The sequence below is a fragment of the Homo sapiens genome, chromosome X, assembly GCF_000001405.40.
Source record: "Homo sapiens chromosome X, GRCh38.p14 Primary Assembly".
Taxonomy (NCBI): domain Eukaryota; kingdom Metazoa; phylum Chordata; class Mammalia; order Primates; family Hominidae; genus Homo; species Homo sapiens.
Genome location: NC_000023.11, coordinates 9945457 through 9968894, shown reverse-complemented (window position 1 = coordinate 9968894; position 23438 = coordinate 9945457). Strand labels below are relative to the sequence as shown.

The 23438-nt window shown below is 45.6% G+C and overlaps 2 protein-coding genes across 7 annotated transcripts in view; both read right to left on the bottom strand.

Moving 5' to 3' along the window:
- Positions 1 to 542: 542 nt before the first annotated feature.
- On the bottom strand, positions 543 to 1537 carry CLDN34 (claudin 34). Its single transcript, NM_001195081.2, has one exon. The coding sequence runs from the start codon at positions 1535 to 1537 to the stop codon at positions 893 to 895; it is 645 nt and encodes a 214-aa protein (NP_001182010.1). The 3' UTR covers positions 543 to 892.
- Positions 19452 to 23438, bottom strand: part of SHROOM2 (shroom family member 2) — a 163015-nt gene continuing 159028 nt past the window's right edge. For all 6 annotated transcript variants that reach the window (NM_001649.4, XM_005274500.5, XM_011545506.1 and 3 more), the window contains one exon: positions 19452 to 22224. In NM_001649.4, the coding sequence (NP_001640.1) occupies positions 21958 to 22224 (267 nt within the window). In that variant the 3' untranslated portion in view covers positions 19452 to 21957. The remainder of the gene's footprint in view (positions 22225 to 23438) is intronic.

Genomic DNA, 23438 nt, shown 5'->3' with positions numbered 1-23438 from the left:
AAAAAAAAAAAACTTGGGAAAAAGAAACATAGATTAGAAAGGTAAAAGAATGGAAAGAGAAAGCAGAAGTGCCCTAATCTCAGTAACTGTGGAGTCTGGCAATGGGTGTGTGGAGATTCCTTATGCTATCCTCTCTACTTTTGCACATTTTAGAAAACTTTATATGGTAGGGAGATGTTATTACCATGACATAGAAAATAAGGTCCATTCTTGGTTTTTTGTTTATTGGAGTTTTTTTAAAGAGTCAGGGTCTTGTTATATGGCCCAGGCTGGAGTGCAGTGGTGCCATCACGTCTCACTGGAGCTTCCAACTCCTGGGCTCAAGTGATCCTCGCACTTCAGCCTCCCAAGTAACTAGAATCACAGCCACGCACCACCACACCCAGCTATTTTTTTTTTTTCTTGTAGAGACCAGGTCTTGCTATGCTGCCCAGGCTGGTCTTGAACTCCTGGCCTCAAGTGATCCTCCCACTTCGGCCTCCCAAAGTGCTGGGATTACAGGCGTAAGTCACCATGCCTGGCCTATGATTGTTTGTAGCAAAAGTTTAAGAGGGAAATGTGAGAAGTTAATGTACTCAGAAACTCTTATTTCCCTACTCTTAGTTTACAGGGTTGATTATTTGCTGTAGCCAACAATAATTAAAATTCAGATGCAATAAGACCAACTGGCAGGTGGGAAGACTTTTAAATAAAAGTTCTCAATTCAACCAACAAATCAGTGAGCCACATTCAGATACACAAGATAACAGAAGGAGGCAGTTGGCCACCTTCTGTCCCAAACTACCCATGCCACGGTCTTGAGTCGTTGGAAATATTTGGTAGAGCATGCTAATAACATTTTCCATAAACTCCCAGAAATCTTAGATTTGCAAAGCCAATGCAACCAGGAAATTCACATTTCTGAAATACCAGGATGCACTTGGCCGTACGGGGGACATTTGTAAAACAGAGAAAACATCCCAGTTAACAGCATCGGCAAGACACCTATCCCTGCCACTTGAATGGCAGTGCCAACTTCCTGCACATCTGGCTTGAAGGGCATTTGGAGAGATGGCAGGAAGGTGATCCCCTGTGAGTTTATGACGGCATCGTAGTTCTGGAGCACAGCAATTAAGTTAAAGACACCAGCAGCAATGTTGAGAATTCCTGAAACAACGAATGAATTGTAGGTGTCCTCCTCAAACATTCTCATGGACATGTTTCTAAGTGCAAACATGTTAAAGGCTCTCCCGAAGAATCCGAAAATGCTGGCAGTCAGTAGGAAGCGTTGAGCCATGGAAATTTCAAAAGGGAGAAAGGTGTCCTGGTAGCTGTATCGGTAACAAAATTTGGTTGTGGTGCTGTTGGTGCGACGCCGGTAAATGCAGACTCTAAATATTCCCACGCAGGCGATTCCAGGGGGGTAGAGCGAGGTGTCTTTCATGTACCATATTCGCCACTCCACGAGGCCCGTGGACGTAGAGGAGAGGATCCATCCTATGGTGGTAAGGGCGAAGACTGAAAATTGGCAGTCGGCACTGTTGCAGAACCAGACCATGGTGGCAGCGCACCCAGGAAACTACAAACAAATACAGAGCATGGTGAGCGGGGGGACCCTGGGACCTGGGACAGCCTCCCATGGGTGAGTAGCGCCAAGAGGGAGGTGTTGTATTGGAGAAAGGAGACACTAGACCCTCTAGATCTGCTGGTGGGAGTGCAGTCTGAGCAAACTTTGTGCAGGGCCGCTCCGCGATATTTCCCGAAAGCTTTAAAATGCACACACCTTCAGACTGGCAGTTCCACTTCTGGGCATTGGTGCAAAGACATGAATAAGGTCGGCCACAAATATGTAGCCACAAAGATGGTCCTCACAGCATTGCTTGTAATATTGGAAACCGGGGAACAACGTCAAGTCCAACAACAGGGCTTGGTGAAGGAATTTATGCTATGTCCACGCGATGGAGCTATACGCCAACATTGACAATACAAATGGAATCATACAAGGTATAAGAGTTTTGTGTGGCTCTTTTCACATGGCACGTTTCCAAGGGTCATCCATGTTGCAGCAGGTATGAGAAGGTTGTCCCTTTTCATTGCTGAATGGTGTTCCATTGTGTGGGTAGACCACAGTTTGTTCATTCATCAGCTTTTGGACATTTGGTTTGGTGCCATGTTTTGGCCATTATAAACTATGCTGTCATGAACACTTGAATATAAAAGTTTGTATGGGCATATGTCCTTGTTTATCTGGTGTAGATGCCTAGGAGTGAAATTGGTGGTTCATATGTTAAGTGCGCATTTAACTTTTTGTAAATTGCTCAACTGTTTTCCCACGTGGCTGCACCATTTTATATTCCCACCAGCAATGATGGAGGTTCCAGTTTCTTCATATTTTCTCCAACATTTGGTATTTTTAATGTTTTTCATGACAGCCATTCTAGTTGACATTCTGTGTGACCAAAAGGGAGGTGTCCGTAATATTTCAAATACAAATTACATGTTTCAAAATAATATGTACGATATAATCATAGATACAAATCGAACTGAAAATCTACATCCTAAGCTATTAGGAGACATTTTTAACTGGGTTTGAGAGATTCTGAGTTTTTTCTAAGCTATTTGGATTGTGAAGGGTCACACACATATAGAAAAGCACACAAGTGTGCAGCTCAATGAACGATGGTGGGGTGAACACCCATGGAGCCAGCATTTCATTTCAGATACACAATATTCCCACTTCCTTGCTTGCTTTCATAGTTTTGTCATCTCAGCATGCATCCCCACACATCTTACTTCTATTTTGCCTGTTTTTCAAAATGGGGATCATACGGTCAATGCTTTTGTGTGACTGGTTTCTTTCACGCAATGTTGTGTCCATTTATGACACTCAGATTGTAATTTTTTAAAGGTGCCTGGCTGTTCAGTATTTTCAAATATTTCTGCAATAAGCATGATTATTTAAAACAAGAAAACAATAAAAAATATTTCACAAAACAGTTGTCTCGGGAAACTTGCTTGAGCCGAGGAGTTTGAGACCAGCCTGGGCAGCATAGCAAGACCATGTCTCCAATAAAATGTTGTCAAGCAATGGAAGATTCATTAGTTTGAGTACATAAATACACTTTACTACCTAGTATATGTTAAAATGAAGCCAATCATTTATTATAATACTTTGCAGATAGTAAAGTAGAAAAAGATTTAGTAACGTGAGAAAATGTCCATGGTGGGTTGGATCTAAAATGCAGATAACAAACTCGTTAGTATCTATAGTAGTATCATCTTATTTTTGCCTATCATAAAATAGGCTGGGAAGACAAAACAAGATGCATCTGAATATTAGGATTACTGGTGATTTCTCTTTTCGTGTCTTAAGGTCTATTACTTTTTTAATTGGAAAAAATGGTGAGCATACAGAGACACAAACATAAAAGTGTATTAATTAATTATTACCAAGAGTAAGGCCAGGCATGGTGGCTCACACCTGTAATCCCAGCATTTTGGGAGGCCGAATAGGGCAGATCTCTTGAGGTCAGGAGTTTGAGCCCGGCTTTGCCAACATGGTGAAACCCCATCTCTGCTAAAAATACAAAAATTAGCCGGGCATGGTGGTGCACGCCTGTAGTCCCAGCTACTCGGGAGGCTGAGGCAGGAGAATCGCTTGAACTCGGGAGTTGTAGGCTGCAGTAAGCAGAGATAGAGCCACTGCACTCCAGCCTGGGCAACAGAGCCAGACTCCGCCTAAAAAAAAAATTATTATCAAGAGTAATAAAAACATGGCTGTCTCCTGACCCAATCTCCTATTTCTTGGAACCAATTCTAGTGGACAAATCAGAGAAGTGGGATCAAAGTGTCTGGGCACTGATGCTCACCAGGGGTGTTGTTGACACTAGGAATAAGAGAAATCTGGAGACAAGTAATATGTGAAGCAATACGGATGCTTAAGTACATTTCATAATTCCAGGTGATATAGCATACTATTCAACCATTTACAATGAAGTCTTCAAAAGCATTTTAGTGACAGGAAATTGTCACTGTTTGCTAAGTGGGAAAAGGATGCAAAAGAATGTATAAATATACATGTTGTTTTATATATATATGCGTTTGTGTGTCTCCTTGTGTGTTTGTGTTTGTGTGTGTTGTGTATTTGTCTGTGTCTCCTTGTGTGTGTTTGTGTCTCCTTGTGTGTGTTGTGTATTTGTCTGTGTCTCCTTGTGTGTGTTGTGTATTTGTCTGTGTCTCCTTGTGTGTGTTTGTGTGTGTCTCCTTGTGTGTGTGTGTTGTGTATTTGTGTGTGTCTCCCTGTGTGTGTTTGTGTGTCTCCTTGTGTGTGTTTGTGTTTGTGTGTGTGTGTGTGTGTGTGTAGTTGTATGCCCCCAGTTTTGTTTTTAAAAGACACCCACATGTATATGCAGAAAACTTTGAAAGGCTCTCCTGGGTGCTGGGAAGGGTACAGAGGAGTAGCTCACATACCTCTCCCCGACTTCCCAAGGAAGATCCACTCTGGAAAGAGACACTCATTTTTAAGTGATGAATAAAGATGGGATAAAATAGACATTGTGAGTGGAAGGAAGGAAGGAAGGAAGGAAGGAAGGAAGGAAGGAAGGAAGGAAGGAAGGAAGGAAGGAAGGAAGGAAGGGGGAGGGAGGGAGAGAGAAATGGAAGGGCAGGAGGGAGGGAGGGAGGGAAGGAGGGAGGAAGGAAAGAAAGAGTTGCTGGAGAACACTGAGGGTCTGAACTTTATCGGGGAGGCATGCTGGGGAGGGATGGGTCAGAGGTTGTTCCAGGCTGATGTCAGAAGTCCCTCCTAACGGCCGGAACATTCCTGGCGGATGCCACATTTATAGTAATCATTCTTTTTGGCAAGATATTCTTGAACAAATGATGATGATTATTATTAGAGAGAGGGTCTCTGTCTCCCAGATTGGAGTGCAGTGAAGTGATCATAGCTCAATCAGCCTCAACCTGCTGGGCAAAAACCATCCTCCCACCTCAGCCTCCCAAGTAGCTGGGACCACAGGAGTGTCCCACTACACTCAGCTAATTTCTTTCTGTATTTTTTTGTAGAGATGGGGGTCTTGTTATGTTGCCCAGGCTGGTCTCGAACTCCTGGGTTCAAGTGATCCTCCCACCTCGGCCTCCCAAAGTGCTAGGATTATAGGCATGAACCACTGTGCCTGGTTCAATAACTGCATTTCAAAATAAGTGTAATCCTGGGCACCTTGTTTTTGCATCTTTTCTGGAAAAAGGTCCGTAGGCTTCGCTAGGTATCACACAGGTTCATACACAAAAGAGATATATATCCTTTTTCGGCATATTTCGAGATGGCTCTTCAGAGAAGATGCAGACACAGGAACAGCCCTGTGTGGAGACAAAAGTGACTCCATCTTGGATGCTAATCCAGCAGTGTTGACTTTTGATTAACCCCAGTCCTGTGAAGGCCTCCTGATTCCTACTTTATTTACCGTCCTTAGTGTAAGAACATACACTCACTATAAATATAAAAATTTTTTTTGAGACAGAGTCTTGCTCTGTTGCCCAAGGCTGGAGTGCAGTGGTGTGTGATCTCCGCTCACTGCAAGCCTTCCTGGGTTCCAGCGAGTCTCCTGCGTTAGCCTCCCGAGTAGCTGGGATTACAGGCATGTGCCACCACGCCCAGCTAATTTTTTTTGTCTTTTTAGTAGAGACAGGGTTTCGCCATGTTGGCCAGGCTGGTCTTGAACTCCTGACCTCAGGTGATCCACCCTCCTCGGCCCCAAAGTGCTGGGATTACAGGCGTGAGCCATCACACCCAGCCAGCTACTATTTTAAAGAAACAAAATAACAAGTGTTGGCAAGGATGTGGAGAAATGGGATCCTTAGTACATTGTTGATGGGAATGTAAAATGGTGCAGATGCTGTGGAAAACAGTATGGCAATTCCTTAAAAAAGTAAAAAAACAGATACCACCTGATAAAGCAATTCACCTTCTGGGCATATACCCAAAAGAAGTGAAAGCAGGGTCTTGACCAGTTATTGACACACCCATGTTCATAGCAGCTCATTCACAGTAGCCAAAAGGCAGAAGCCACTCAAGTGTCCATTGACAGATGAATGGAGAAGCAACACGTGATCTATCCATACCATGGAATATTATTCAGCCTTAAAAAGGTAGGAAAATCATCCAGGCACAGTGGCTCACACCTTTAATCCCAGCACTTTGGGAGGCTGAGGTGGGAGGAGGATTGCTTGAGCCCAGGAGTTTAAGTCCAGTCTGGGCAACATAGTGAAACCCCATCTCTACAAAAATTAGCCAGGCTTGGTAGTGCACACCTATAGTCCCAGCTACCTGGGAGGAGGCTGAGGTGGGAGGATCACCTGAGCCTGGGAGTTCGAGGTTGCAGTGAGCCATGATCTCACTGCACTCCAGCCTGGGCAACAGAGCGAGACCCTGTCTCACAAAAAAGAAAAAAAGCGCCTGGTGCGTGGCTCATGCCTGTAATCCCAGCACTTTGGGACGCCGAGGTGGGTGGATCACCTGAGGTCAGGAGTTCGAGACCAGCCTGGCCAACATGTTGAAATCCTGTCTCTAGTAGAAAAAAAAAAAAAAAAATTAGCTGGGTGTGGTGGTGTGTGCCTGTAGTCCCAGCTACTCGGGAGGCTGAGGCACAAGAATTGCTTGAACCCGAGAGGCGGAGGTTGCAGTGAGCCGAGATTACACCACTGCACTCCAGCCTGGGTGACAGAGGGAGATTTCCTCTTAGAAAAAAAAAAAAAAAGAATTGCTATGTGATCCAGCAATTCCATTTCTGGGTATATACTCAAAAAGATGGGACAGCAGGGACTCAAAGACATATTTCCACACCCATGTTCATAGCAACATTATTCACAGTAACCAAAGGTGGAGACAACCCAAGTGCCCACCCACAGACAATGGAAGCCAAATGTGGTCTATACCGACACCAGAAATACGATTTCTATCCACAGTCTCAAAAAGGAAGTTCTGACACAGGCTACCACACAAACGAACCTCGAAGACATTACACTGAGTGAAAGAAGCCAGTCACAAAAGGACAAAAACTGTCTGGCTACCCATATGGGAGGTACCTGTAATAGAGAGTCAAATTCATAGACAGAAAGTAGGTGGTAGTTGCCAGGGGCTGGCGGGAACTAAAGGGGAGTTCATGTTTCACGGGGACAGAGTTTCATTTGGGGAAGATAAAAAGTTCTGGAGGTGGACAGTGGTGACAGTTACCCAACAATTACATGTACTTACTGCCATTGAACTGTACACTTAAATGGCTAAAATGGTCAATTTTATGTTACATATACTTCACCACAATAAAAAAATAAATACACAATAAAGAGGGAATGAACCTCCGCTACCTAGCGACGTGGTCTTCGCATGAACCGGTGGCTTGAGGGGAGGGCAGTCAGCTCACCTGGCCAGCGGGGCCGACATGGACACAGCTCCTCTCGGACGTCCTGCCTAGTTCTTCAGCACCGGCTTCTTGGTCCAGGCAGCTGGGAGTTCTCATCAACACGGTAGCCATGGTTTCCAGTTCTGAGGCCCTCCCTCAATGTTCTGTTCTGTTCCCACATTCCACCAGTCACCCTGCTCATCCAGGTGTCAGTCCTAGGTCCTGAGGTCGCTGCAGCCACCACCCTTTAGTTGCTTCATTTGCTTCATCATGTAGCCTCTTTTGCTCTGTCAGCCTTTGGAGGGTAGGTATGTTTGCTAATACACCTGCAGGGTCCACTCCAACATTCGTATGGGCTCCTAATTTCTCTCTCCCCACCAGCCCTAGAACTGGTGTCTAACTCATATCACCTGCAGGTAATGCTTTTTTTTTTTTTAAGACGGAGTTTCACTCTTGTCACCCAGCATGGAGTGCAATGGCGTGATCTCGGCTCACCGCAACCTCCGGCTCCTGGGTCCAAGCGATTCTCCTGCCTCAGCCTCCTGAGTAGCTGGAATTACAGGCACCTGCCACCACGCCCAGCTAATTTTTTCATATTTTTAGTAGAGATGGGGGTTTCACTATGTTGGCCAGGCTGGTCTCGAACTCCTGACCTCGTGATCCGCCCACCTCGGCCTCCCAAAGTGTTGGAATTATAGGCGTGAGCCACTGTGCCTGGCCGACATTTTTTTTTAAGCAGTGGTAATATATAAGTACAGGCGTTAGCAGAAGTGGCACCAACCTGGATGAGATTGAGTTGTGAAGGCCACTGACAACCCATGTATTAGGAAAGACACCATTAATTTTAATTTTATTTTTTTGAGACAAGGTCTCACTCTCCCCCAGGCTGGAGTACAGTGGCAAAACTGCAACTCACTGCAGCCTCAGTCAACCTCCTGGGCTCAAGAGATCCTCCCTCTTCAGCCTCTCAAGTAGCTGGGACCACAGGCACGCACTACCATGCCTGGTTAATTTTTGTATTTTTTGTAGAGATGGAGTCTCGCTTTGTTGTCCAAGCTGGTCTTCAACTCCTGGACTCGGGCGATCTGCCTGTCTCACCCTCCCAAAATGTTGGGATCACAGGAGCGAGCCACCGCGCCAGCTGGGAAAGACACTGTTAGTTCATGGGAAATGACCTTTTTCTAGCTAAGTCTTGAATTACAGGCTTGTTGGAACAGTTTCGGTAGGTAAGACAAGTGGAAGATGCGGAGTGTGTGAAACTGACCTGCTAAGACTGGGGACAGCTTCAAATGGAACCTGTGTAAGAAATGAGGCTGCCAAAAGGCAAACGATGCCAGCTACCCAGTATGTAGGACTAAACATTACATGGAAGTCAAAATCCCACCGGACTCCTTTGCTTACAGGGTTTCCATAAGAAGGAATTTATTCTGAGCAAATGAGCAGAGATGTGTGCAAAGATCTAAGTGCAAAGCACACCCAATGAACTCTGTAACTGAGGTTACAACTGGGACAAAAAGGCAAAATCCTAAAACCACACTTAGAGAACTGTTCAGTAAACCATTTTATATCCTTATAATGGGATATCACACCAAAATTCAATACTATGTTGAAGAATAATTAAGGAAAACGTTCCCAATACTGCTAAGTAAAAAGCAGATTTCGAAAATATTATTATATAATCCTGTTTCCTTAAAAAAAGCAAAAGGAAAAAGGAGACAGGGAGGGAGGAAAAGAATGGAGGGAGGGAGGAAGGGAAAGAGGGAGAGAAAGACGGAGGGAAGGAGAGAGTGAGGGGAGGAATGGGGGAAGGAAGGAAGGAAGGTGGGAAGGAGGGAGGGCAGGAAGGAAGGAAGGGGGTACGTGGCTATGTTGCCTTCCATGGCAAAACAGGCTTTGCAGCTGTGATGGAATCGAGGATCCAGATGTGGGGAGATGATCCCGGCTTATCCAGGTGGGCTAGTGTCATCACAAGGGTTCTTGTGTGAGGGAGGCAAGAGGGTCAGGGAGGGAAATGAGATGATAGAAGGAGGGTCAGGGAGAGACTGGAAGACGCTAGACTGCTGGCTTTGCGGATGGAGGAAGGGGTCGTGAGACCAGAAATGGGGTGGCCTCCAGATACTAGACAGGCAAGAAACCAATTCTCCCTGGAGCTTCCAGAAAGGAACACAGCTCTGCTCACACCTTGACTTTAGCTTGGCGTGACAGATTACAGACTTCTGACCTTCACAACTGTAATGCGTAAATGTGGCATTTTAAACCACTAAGTTTGTGGTAAATTGTTACAGCACCAATAGGACACTAACACACTGCCTATGTCTGGCTGGAGAATTCTTTTATTTTTTATTTTTGAGAGAGTTTTGCTCTTGTTGCCCAGGCTGGAGTGCAGTGGTGCAATCTCGGCTCACTGCAACCTCCACCTCCCGGGTTCAAGCGATTCTCCTGCCTCAGCCTCCCGAGTAGCTGGGATTACAGGCGCCCGCCTCCACGTCCAGCTAATTTTTTGTATGTTTAGTAGAGACGGGGTTTCACCATGTTGGCCAGGCTGGTCTCAGACTCCTGACTGGCTGGGGAATTCTATGTGATCTCTTTTGTTCTTCAGTGTCCTACAATGTGACAAGTTTATGTGCTTTTCTGCACTATTGGTTATCTTTTTTAAAAAAAAAAAAAAGCAATGCACACATGCATTTAACTACACCCTCTCCTCAAAGCCCACTAAAATGACAGAAACAGCTTAAAAGAGGCATTAACCCTCAGAGAACACAGCAGATGATTTACCAAAAAGATCCTGGTAGCAGGAAAGGTGATAGACAAATGCCAACTGGCTGGGTAGACCAGAAGGCTGAGATGCAGACCTGCCAGGAGCAAGACTCTTTGTGGTACCAGGTGCTTCTGCAGGGAGTGGGGTGTCGGCGGGGGAAGTACGGGGGACTGTCAGTAGAAATAGTGCCTGAGAATCTATATCCGATGCCCCCAATTACCCCCTTCACCGCCGCCGCCCATAATCACCAGACCACCAGTCCCCTTCTGTGGCAGAAGGCAGGAGGGCCAATCTGAACTTGGAGGGAGGTAGCTGTACAGTCTTGCTCCCACTGGGCTCCAAGTGTTTGATGAACTCCAAGTGTTGTCATATAACAGATTTTCATGTGGAGAGCAGAAATAGCCACTTCCTTTTTTTTTTTTTTTTTACAGTATTTGGAGAATTTATTTTTCTTTTTTGAGACAGGGTCTACTCTGTCGCTCAGGTTGGAGTGTAGTAGTGTGATCATGGCTCATTGCAGCCTCCAATTCCTGGGCTCCAGTGATCCTCCTGCCTCAGTCTCCCTAGTAGCTGGGAACACTGGCACATTTCACTACACCCAGGTAATTTTTTTTTTTTTTTGTAGAGACGGGGTCTCCCTATGTCTTCCAGGCTGGTCTTGAACTCCTGGGCTGAAGCGATCCTGTCACCTCGGCCTCCCAAAGTGCTGGGATTCCAGGTGTGTGCCCCCGCGCCCAGGCAGGTCTGCTATTTTAATATTTGTTTTGTTTCTTCTGGTTGTTGTTGTTGCGGCTTCCCTTCTACTGCCCTCTTTTGGGCTATCTGAGCAAGGTCGAAAGTTATCTATTGAGTTGTCTGAATCTCTTTGTACAGTTTTTAAGTGCTTGTTCTAGAGATGACAATACACAGGCATTTCATTGCCTATTTTGAAAAAACTATTTATTTATTTATTTATTTATTTATGACAGGGCGTGGTTCTGCCGCCCAGGCTGGAGTGCAGTGGCACAATCTCAGCTCACTGCAACCTCTGTCTCCTGTGCTCAAGTGATCCTCCCACCTCAGCCTCCCCAGTAGCTGGGACTACAGGTGCAGGTCACCATGCCTGGCTGATTTTTTTGTATTTTTAGTAGAGATGGGGTTTTGTCATGCTGCCAGGATGGTCTTGAACTCCTGGGCTCAAGCGATCCTCCTGCCTTGGCGTCCCAAAGTGCTGGGATCACAGGCGTGAGCAACTGTGCCCGGTCCATAGCCTATTCAGAATTAATATTTCATTACTTCCAGAGGAATGTAGCAACTTTACCACTAGGTGTGTCCTTTTCCTTGCAACCTTTAGGTTATAGCTGTCATATACATTAAGATCTACATCTCTCCCTTCTAATTCATAAATACCATTTTGGTTTCTTTTTCAATCAAACTTAGAAAAACATTGAAGAAGCCAGGTGCGGTGGCTCACGCCTGTAATCCCAGCACTTTGGGAGGCCGAGGTGGGTGGATCACCTGAGGTCAGGAGTTCGAGACCAGCCTGGCCAACATGGTGAAGCCCCATCTCTACTAAAAATACAAAATTAGCCGGGCCTGGTGGCACAGCTACTCGGGAGGCTGAGGCAGGAGAATCACTTGAACCGAGGAGGCGGAGGTTGGAGTGAGCCAAGATCGCGCCATTGTACCCTAGCCTGGGCAACAAGAGCAAAACTCCTTCTCAAAAATAAGAAAAAAAAATTGAACATGCTTTTCTTATATATGCTAAAAAGTTGACAACTGTTATGGACTGAATGTTTGCCCCCCTTATCCCCTAACTAGATGTTGAAATCCTAACCCCAGTGTGCTGGTATTAGGAGGTGGGATCTTTGGGAGGTAATCAGGTCATGGGGGCAGAACTCCCCATGAATGGGATTAGCGCCCTTATAAGAAGAGGCCTGAGAGCTACTTTGCTCTCTTTCCACCATGTGAGGATACAACCAGGCCAACAACCCGGTTCTCACCAGAACCTGACCACAGGGGCACCCTGATCTTGGATTTCCAGCCTCCAGAACTGTGAGAAATCAATTTCTGTGTTGTTTATGATTCACTCAGTCTATGGTACTTTGTTATAGAAGCCTGAACGGATTAAGACAACATGTAATATTTGCTAATAGTTTGAGTCCTTTGAATCAATTTAAGAAGAAAGGCTCATGCCAGTAATAGTTTAAAAAGTACTCTAATTCCAAATATCCGTTCTACAGGCGATAGTTTAAGACTGAAAATTCTGCACGAGCAGAATAATGTAAACAAAATATTCACACTCAGGGTTTTTCGTATTTGAAACTCTCCCTGCATGCTATATTCTTTTTTTTCTTCTTCCTTTGATTAGAATGGGCCACAAAAAATAAATAAATAGGGCCGGGCGCGGCGGCTCACACCTATAATCCCAGCACTTTGGGAGGCTGAGGTGGGCAGATCACAAGGTCAGGAGATTGAGACCATCCTGGCTAACATGGTGAAACCCCGTTTCTACTAAAAATACAAAAATTAGCTGGGCGTGGTGGCACGTGCCTGTAATCCCAGCTACTCAGGAGGCTGAGGCAGGAGAATCACTTGAACCTGGGAGGCGGAGGTTGCAGTGAGCCAAGATCGCACCATTGCACTCCAGTCCGGGTGACAGAGCAAGACTCCATCTCAAAAATAATAATAATAATAATAACAACAATAATAATGATTAAATTAAAAAAAATAAATAACAAAAAAAGGGTAACACATCTCCCCAGTTTTGTTCATAGGCCAGTATTTATATATGATCGGATATGAACAAGGACGTCAGTCTTCTGGTAGAATGTTTAGCTGTTTAAGTATATCCAGTTGAGTAATCAAATGTCATTGGTATAAAAATAAATTCCTCTCTGAAGAAAAAGTTTAAAGTTTAGAACTTAGGAAATGCCAGAGAAAACAAAGAATTTTTAGAAACATTTTTTCCTACATATTCTTGAGCTCTCTTTAAATGCCTACATAATGAGCTGTAATAGAGCAAAAATGTCTAAAAATTCCTTCACAGGACGTGTTTGCTCTAAATCAACTCACTATTGAGATAGGGCAGCTGGATGTACTTGTGTCAAGTCAGTGGAGAAACACTCCAGGCTTACGATGGAGTCGCCACCACCAGGCTGGGGATCTCGATGTGTACATCTTAATCTCTGGATCCTTTCGACACCCAGTTCTCATTCGCTTAACTTTCCCTTTTCAAAAGCAAAATTAATATGTAGGCTGGGCAGGGTGGCTCACACCTGTAATCCCAGTACTTTGGGAGGGTCGTTTGAACCCAGGAGTTCGAAACCCATCTGGACAACATAATGAAACTCCATCTCTACAAAAAAATAGAAAAATTAACCAGGTGAGGGACGCACGCCTGTAGTCACAGCTACTTGGGAGGCAGAGACGGGAGGACTGCCTGAACCCAGAGAGATCGAGGCTGCAGTGAGCTGTGACTGTGCCACTGCACTCCAGCCTGGGCAATAGAGTGAGGTCCTGTCTCAAAAAAAAAAATACACACACACACACACACACACACGCACAGATATGTAGGTGAAATCCTATGAAAAGAGAGAACACAGGGAGAAGGCAAAATTATCATGTAGGTAAAAAACTCTTGAACGGGGCAGTTTTGTGGTTTGTAATATCCATCTTTGCTTTCCTAAATATAGAGCAATTGCTGCAAGGCTGGTCTCACTAAAAGAGCTTTATAAAATTGATGGTATGAGGTTTAGTGACAGTAGGGCACGTTACAACTTATAAAATGCTTTTCACACATCTTTGACTGAAATGGATCACAAAAATAGCATAGCAAGACGCCAAGGGAACTCATCCATCCAGGGGGCCACAGATCTTTAGGGAGAGCTGGCTTTCAGCTCACCACATCAAGGATGCTGCTTGCCCTTGGGGGCTTCTTCTGAGCCAGATGAGGCTCCTGGCATTCCAGTCACCTTTGCTGTCTCAGCACTCCCTTTCCTGCCTTCAGAGCAAAGATCCAACACTCAAAGAGCACAGGGGTTTGAGGATACCCTCAACAAACATTTGATGAAAAAACAAATGTGTGCAGAGGCACCTGGGTATACGCTCTACACACAGAAAGATGATATCCAGATATGTTAAAGCAACTCAGCAAAGCAAGCAGCGATTATATCAACTTCGAACCCTGACATGAAACTTGGATGACACCACACGTCAAACAGTGTTTTAAGGGGCAAGAGTATGTACAGGGATTTGTAAAAAACTTCCTCTTTGCCTGATGCACATGTATAAAAAATAAATGTTTTAACATCCCTTTGAAGTCCTTCATGCACACTGTATGATATGGTTTGGATTTGTGTCCCCACCCAAATCTCATGTTGAATTGTTATCTCCAATGTTGGAAGAGGGGCCTGGTGGGAGGTGATTGGATCATGCGGGTGGATTTCTCCCTTGCTGTTCTCATAATAGTGAATTCTCATGAGATATGGTTGTTTAAAAGTGTGTAGCACCTACCCCTTCTCTTTTCTTCCTCCTTCTCTGGCCATGTAAGACATGCGGGCTTCCCCTTTGCCTTCTGCCATGATTGTAAGTTTCCCGAGGCCTCCCCAGCCATGCTTCCTGTACAGCCAGCAGAACTGTGAGCCAATTAGACCTCTATTCTTTATAAATTACCCAGTCTCTGGTAGTTCTTTATAGGAATGCGAGAATGAATTAATACAGAATTATATCAATACCCCAGGAATGGGGTATTAATATAAAGATACCTGAAAATGTGGAAGCAGCTTTGGAACTGAGTAACAGGAAGAGGCTGGAACAGTTTGGAGGGCTTAGAAGACAGGAAAATGAGGGAAAGGTTGGAACTTCCTAGAGACTTGTTAAATTGTTGTGAGCAAAATGCCAATAGTGATACAGACTATGAAGTCCAGGCTGAGGTTGTCTCAGATGGAGATGAAGAACTTATTGGGAACCGAAGCAAAGGTCACTTTTGTTATGTGCTAGCAAAGAAGTTGGAGGCATTATGCTCCTGCCCCAGAGATCTGTGGAACATTGAACTTGAGAGAAATGATTTAGGGTATCTGGCAGAATAAATTTCTAAGCAGCAAAGTGTTCAAGATGTAACCTGGCCGCTTCTAACAGCATATGGTCCTATGCATGGGCAAAGAGATGATCTGAAACAGGAACTTATATTTAAAAGGGAAGCAGAGCATAAAAGTTTAGAAAATTTGCATCCTGACCATGTGGTAAAAAAGAAAAACTAATTTTCTGGGGAGAATTCAAGCTGGCTGCAGAAATTTGCATAAGAGGAGCTGAATGTTAATAGCCATGACAATGGGGAAAATCCATCCAAGGCATTTCAGAGACCTTCACGGCAGCCCCTCCCATTATTGGCCCAGGGACCTAGGAGGGAAAAATGGTTTTGTGGGCCAGGCCCAGGGCTCCTGCTGCCCTACATATTCTCAGGACACTGCTCCCTGTGTCCCAGCTGCTCTAGCTCCAGCGTTGGCTAAAAGGGCCCCAGATGTGTCTCAGGCCGCTGCTCCAGAGGGTGGTAGCCATAAGCCTTGACAGCTTCCATGTGGTGTTAAGCCTGCAGGTGTGCAGTGGGCAAGAGTTGAGGCTTGGGAGCTGCTGCCTAGATTTCAGGGGATGTATGGAAAGGCCTGGAAATCCAGGCAGAAGTCTGCTGCAGGGGCAGAGCCCTCATGGAGAACCTCTGCTAGGGTAGTGCACAGGGAAAATGTAGGGTTGGAGCCCCCCAACAGAGTCCCCAGTGGGGCACTGCCTAGTGGAGCTGTGAAGAAGGCCACTGTCCTCCAGACCCCAGAATGGTAGATCCACTGGCAGCTTGCACCATGCACCTAGAAACGCCATAGGCACTCAACGCCAGCCCTTGAGAGCAGCCATGAGAGTTGAGCCCTGCAGAGCCACAGGGGTAGAGCTACCCAAGGCCTTGGGAACCCACCTCTTGCATCACTATGGCATGGATGTGAGACATGGAGTCAAAGGAGATTATTTTGGAGCTTTAAGATTTAATGACTGCCCTGTTGGGTTTCGGACTTGCATGGGGCCTGTAGCCCCTTTGTTTTGGCAGATTTCTTCATTTTGGATTGGGATTATTTATCCAATACCTGTACCCCCACTGAATGTTGGAGGTAACTTGTTTTTTATTTTACAGGCTCATTGGTGGAAGGGACTTGCCTTCTCTCAGATGAGACTCTGGACTGTGGACTTTAGAATTAATGCTGGAATGAGTTAACACTGGGCAACTGTTGAGAAGGGACGATTGTACTTTGCATTGTGAGAAGGACATGATTTGGGAGGGGCCAGGGGCAGAATGATATGGTTTGGATTTGTGTCACTGCCCAATTCTCATGTTGAATTGTAACCCCCAATGTTGGAGGAGGGGCCTGGTGGGAGGTGACTCAATCATGGGAATGGATTTCCTTCTTGCTGTTGTCATGATAGTTCTCATGAGATCTGGTTGTTTAAAAGTGTGTAGCACCTCCCCCTTCTCTCTCTCCCTCCTGCTCCAACCTAGTGAGACGTGACTCCTTCTTCACCTTCTGCTATAACTGTAAGTTTCCTGAGGCCTCCCCAGCCATGCTTCCTGTACAGCCTGTGGAACTGTCAGCCAATTAAACCTCTTTTCTTTATGGATTACCCAGTCTCAGGTAGTTTTTTGTAGCAATGCAAGAACAAACAAATATACCATATTATAATTTTCTGGTAAACAGAGAAAGAATATTAATAACTATATCTGTATGAATACATCAACAAGAGAATAAGTGAACTATATGCCCAGGAAATGGCTTTTGCATCTTTTCTGTGAACACCTAAGAGCAGACAGATCATCTGGAAGGCTCTTAGGAAGGCTATGTTGGGTGAGGTGCCTATTTTCTCCCAGTGTGTGATTAAGAACATTTTCAAACAGCAAAGTTGAAAGGATTTTACAGTAAACACCTGTATACTCACCACCAAGTTTCTGCCATTAGTGTTTTACTGTGCCTATCACGTATCAATACACCTATTCATCTCTCCCCACCCATTCACCCATCTTATTTTTTATGCATTTCAAAGCAAATTGCAGACATCAGTATATTCCTCCCTAAACACATCAGCCCGCATAGCATGAAGTGCAGTTCAATATTTATTTTTTCCTTCTCTCGTAAAATGCACAAATCTTAAGTACATGATGGCTGGATTCTGACAAAAGCCAACACCTGTGTAACCCATGCCCCTATCCATTTGCAGAACATGAACTTCACCCCAAGTACCCTGTGCACACCCCCACCTCTGGAGACAACTATGACTTTGATATTTTCTACCACAGACAATTTGGCCCATTCTAGAACTTCACATAAACGAAGTCTTGCAGCAGGCACTCTTCTTACCTGAGCCGTCTCCCACTTGGCACAGTGTTTCTTAGATGCATTCTTATATTTTGTGTGCTTCAGTAATTCATGCCTTTGTATTTCTGAGCAGTATTCTATTGTACATAGTAGACTATCATTATTTATTCTCCTACTGATGAACATCGGAGCTGTTTCCACTTTTTGACTATTAGAAAACATTAGACCGAATCACAGAACCTGCTCTAATTTACAGCCCAAAGTTTAACAAGAGGTTAAACATATAAATTAAGATATGACCATCATAAGGCCAGGCGCGGTGGTTCACGCCTGTAATCCCAGCACTTTGGGAGGTCACGGTGGGTGGATCACTTGAGGTCAGGAGTTCAAGACCAGCCTGGCCAACATGGTGAAACCCCATCTCTATTAAAAATACAAAAATTAGCTGAGCATAATGGTGGGCACCTGTAATCCCAGCTACTTGGGAGACTGAGGCACAAGAATCGCTTGAGCCAGGGAGGTGAAGGTTGCAGTAAGCTGAGATCACGCCACCGTACTCCAGCCCGGGCGACAGAGCGAGACTCCATCTCCAAAAAAAAAAAAAAAAAAAAAAAAAAAAAAAAAAAATCTGACAATCATAGACAGAAAGGGAGTTTAAACAAACACAAGAAAACACATATAAACCCATCCCTGGGCTGCAGTGACTTATACCTGTAATCCCAGCACTTTGGGAGGCCAAGACAGGAGCATGGCTTGAGGCCAGGGGTTTGAGGCCAGCCTGGGGAACACAGCAAGATGCTGTCTCTGCAAAAATAAAAAATTAGCCAGGTGTGGTAGAGAGTGCGCCTATAGTCCCAGCTACTTGGGAGGCTGAGGTGGGAGGATCACTGGAGCCCTGGAGTTGGAGGCTGCAGTGAGTCATGATCGCACCACAGCACTCCAGCCTGGGCGACAGACAGAGAAAGGCTGCGTCTTTTTTTCCAAGTGTTTTCCCATAACCCTGACTGCCTAACCTTCAGGTCTCACAAATCTGCTCCCTAGCAGAAACACTTCTAATCCTACCAAATAAAAGAAATCAACCGTTATCTACCTCTCGGGTGGTTCTGGCGGGCGATCTATTCTGACTACAGGGACAGTGTTTCCTCCAGGTGCACAACAGGATAAGAGCCGTATTCACAGCTTATGCAGCCGTGCTGTGAACCAAGCATGGCGTCTAAGCACACCAACATTTATCAACTCACTTGACCTCACAGCAGCCCATCTCCAATTACGAGAGAGGAGCTGGGGCTCACAGAGGCTGGGTTACTTGCTGTGGCCACACAACTAGCAGTGACAGAGGTGGCTTTGCTCCAGGCAACTTGACTCCGTGGTCCCAGCCACTTTGGTGCCACTCCATTATCAGTAGACACGAGGAGGCGGGCGAGATGGAGCCCATGGACAGCCCCAGTTCTTCATCCCTCCCTGTGTCCACACTCTGCCATGTGAATTTACGGTTCCTCCACTAAAAGGTGGAGCCTGTTCCACACCCTTTGGTGCCGGGGTTGGCCAGGAGATGTGCTTTGCCAGAAGAAGGTTAGCAGGTATGACAGGACAAAGCCAGGAGAAGCCCCTTTGTGACAGGGTGTGTTGTCTTGTGCCCCTGCCATGAACACATCCAGCCACACGGCTGGTCCCATGAGGAAGAGGAGAGGCACACAGCACAGAGCCCAGCCCGAATTAGCTCATCTACAAATTCATGAGCTAAGTCAATACTTTGTTGCACAGATTATTGCTGACATTTTACAGTTTGTTACACAGCATTACTGGGGCACCAGCTAAGTGATGCGACCTGGTCCCTGTTTCCTCACCACAAACCGACTAGTGTAAATAAATTACACACATATAATCAATCCCACGGTTTACTCAGATGGCTTAAGAATCTGACGTATGGTGAGGACATTCTTTTTTTACAAAAGCTGTAAAGTAGGTAAATCAAAGACATCTCCATTCACTTGAAGAGACACTATTTATTTTGTTACAGTCAAGCAGGATGATCTGTTGATAGGTGAGTGGTAAGTGTCGAGCATGAAATCTACACACATTTGCTGTGGTGGACTGAAGGATACAAGCCACAGGCCACCCCCCATAGGCAGAGCCCTCCACAGCCACACTACAAGAGGGCGAAGGAGCAGCTGCCACCCAACAACACCAGGGCCAACCATTAGCACCAGATTGATTTTCTATGAATAATACAACTAGATACAGAGTTATGGATGTTGACTCACTAGAATCTTTGGGTCCCCACTAACCAGACGTTTCAGAGGCAAACAGGGGAACTGACAGGACAGCTGGCTCTATGTGCTTTGCTACAAGGATACTCGAGCACGACGTATTGCTGTGTAGAAGAGAAAGTCCTAAAAAGACATCAAAAGGCTGAGTACAGACACCAATTGGATTATTCACATTTTACACACATATCATCAAAATGACCACAATACTGTATTTGAGGGCAAAGAATAACAGGTAAAAGCTCTGCCAAACAAAATACTCTGAAATTCCTTGGGTCGTCTCCCCGAGGGAGAAAGATGGGGGTAAGTGCACAGCCAGCTTCACCTTTTCAGACTGACCAGCATTCACGCAAGTGACTACCAGCTGGAGAGGAGGAGGAAGCTTCGCTGGCAGAACAGGGATTTTTCAAGTTAGCAAGAGCTTAATTTAACAGGAATACACACTTTTGGAAAGACATTTATCCTTTTGGCATTGGTAGGCTGCCAAAAAGGCGGTTTATTGCCTGCATCATTGAGCTTGCCAGTTTGGACTTGGCTCTATAGAGAATGCATTACCGTCAACACGGCCCCTCTGGCTCAGGAAGTGTGGATTCTAGTCTTTTAAGACATCTGTGTGTGTGCATCTGTGCACGCGCACGCGTCTGCTTTGGTAAGGCTGTGGTCACTGCTGCTGACAAAATGAAATCTCCATTCCACTGGAAAACTTCTTTTATGGGAATAAGGGGAAGTCAGGGTTAAAATGATCCGTTGATCCAACAAATGCCCTAATACGACCTAAACACGAAGTCACCCAAGGGATTCACTCACCATTAACATGCATTTAATTAAACATTTTTTGAAGAAATACACTGAATCTACAATTATTAGATAAAAATAAGTAAGTTATAAATTATAACCAAGCCATCGGCGGCTGAACGTCTTTTCGTGTGCTTGTTTGCCACGCGTGTATGCTCTTTGGTGAAGTGTCTATTCAAGTCTTTTGCCTGCTTTTCACTTGGGCTGTTTGTTTTCTTACTATCCGGTTTGAGAGTTCTTTGTACATCCTGGACACAAACCTTTTGTCAGATACACGATTTGCAAATATTTTCTCCCAGTCTGTGACTTGTCAATTGGGAACTGACAGCATGACAGTGTTTTCTTTTAACAAACCAGGCTCTCTTTAGAATCCTGCCATTTCAATCAAGGAAATGGGCATAGAATCTTTAAACTTCATGGCAGAAAAAGATCAAGCTCAGGAGCTGTGTAGTCCACGGGACCTCTGAAGAGGAAGGGGTCTTCCCGTCCATGGAATGTGGCCCTCATGCCATGCTAAACGATTTAAGGAGGAAACAATGGAAAAGTAGCCAATTATCACGGACAATCATATGCATACAAAATACATGGGGGGAAAGTAACTGAAAAAATCTTCTGTTGGTCTTGAGAAACAGCTAACAAGCACATTACTACTGGACACGCTCTTAACCAAAAAATTTTACTTTGCAGAACAACTGTGATGTGAGGTGAGAAGGACTAAAGCTATTTGCCTGCTTGGTGCGTGACTGTGTTTTTTAAAGCATGCACGTTATTTCTTTAAGTGGCAATTTAATCTGAGAATGAGTGAACCCAACCACACAGGTGGTTCCTTTCACAGTTGGTTTTTAACCATTAGGAAACTATTCACCCTTCCAAAAAGTTAATAAATTATCATCATCATGATGATGATTTCTGCTGGGTCAGAGAACATCATTAGATAACAGAGACAAATGCTCACACTGTTGAACGAGCAGGGACAAAACCTGGCAGCCCATGCCTGGATGAATGACAAGAGAAGATGAGCACCAGGGTCCCCCTCTCATGCACGTCATGACGCGCTGGCTGCTGTCCAAGCAGTTGGCTCAGCATCTGAAGACGGGAGGAACAACGGGTTTCCCACTGACAGTGACCACTCGGCAGGCACCACAGGCCCAGCCCACAGCCCATGCAGTGGAAACTCACATCCAGCAGAGCCTGGTGTCAGGTGTAGTTATGTGTAAAGGAAAATGGCTCTCAGCAATCAAAGGGGAAACTAAAAAATTAAATAAATCATCCCACACAAACACAAAAGTTATTGCTTTTATAACAGCCTCTTTGCTATGGGAGAAGTCTCTTTCCAGGCCATGAACACAGATGGGGTCTTCACGAGTATCCTTGGGAACGGAGCTGGAGCTCGGAGGCCCCGTGCCCCTCCTCCACCGGGGACTGGTCTCTTATTTGCCCCTTTCGGGCTGAAGGCTGTCCAATAAGCACTTCAGCTGCTCTTCACCAAGGTGGATTTTATCTTCCAGCTCCCGCTGCTCGATGATGAGGGCCGACTTCATCTTCACGAAGTGCTCATAGTCCGCGAGGCTCTCCTCGCTCAGATAGTTGGCCAAAATGTCAAAGACGATGCGCTCGCGGCGGTCCAGGTTCTCCTTGAGCTCCTTGGCGTCCTCGTGCTGCTGGATCAGGACTCTCTGCTTCTCAAGCAGTGATTGCTGTTGACAGACAAACAAGCCTGTTGAGGACCAGGATGAAAGCTGGGGCACTGGCCAACCCTTGAAGACACTGGCAACTTGTGGGCTGGTCCCACAACTTATCGATGGAAACCCTGATGCCACCAGAGATCCGATGGGGTCCACACAGACAAACCCAGGGCCCAGGGCCTGGGGGCATGTGTCTCATGGTTGCAGCGGGCCAGCCTGAGGCCCCCAGAAGCCGCCCACAGGCCTCTCTGGGTTTCCTCTTGCTGTCTGAGCCTGACTCTCTCCCACCTGCCTCGAATGGTGAGCAGAAGAGTCACCAAGGGACTCACAACGACAGAATTCTGAGATGCTGCAAAGGGCAAAGGACTGCGGGGCCCTCTTGGCGTCAAGGTCCGCTCCATGGGAACACCGTGGGACAGCTGGCCACATGGGTGGACTCGAGAGGAATTCAGGGTAGGCTTACTAAATGCTCCTGGCAGGAGGAGGAGAAGCCCCCGAGCCTGCAGAGCATATCTGCACACAAGGAAGCCTGAGGGTGGAGAAGACGCAGTGCTGTGCACGGGTGTCGGCCAGCAGCCCCCTCGGGCACGGTGCCACCCTGACCTAGCTAGTTCCACGACACAGTTACTAAGCACTCGGCTGAGTGCAGAAGGGCACCGTCTCCAAGCCCAGCGCCAGGACAGCGTTCTGCGTGGCCCAAATCACCCTCACCTGGAGAAAGGGGAAGGGTGCTTCTTCTGCTCCCCTTCTGAGAGAGGTTAAGATGTTTTATTCATGATACAGATGAACATTCTGAAGGCCTGTTCTGTGCAAACAAAACTAGCTGTTTTACTGATATTTGGCCTATGAGGTAAAAGCCAACGAGGCAGCTATTATTTCTCTTGGTTCATATGTGAAAGGACGAAAAGACAGACCCACTGAGAAACGCCTTGAAGTTAGATGCACTGTCTGCTTCCTTCTAGACTGATACATGCCCTCTTGTTAAATCACAGCTACAACCACCACAAGAAAATAGCTATCATTGAGTACTTACGATCGTCAGCAGGCAGGCATGTCTGTTACGGACTTATACATGGTAAAAGAAAAGTAAAAACAACAACAACATGATTTTTCTAAGAAGAGACAATTATCAGTAAGAGTCAATAGGAATATCTAAAAAGATGTTAAAAAGAGGTAACAGTTCTTTGAGAAGATCCCGCAACCCTGCAGTCCAATGACGGTTCAAC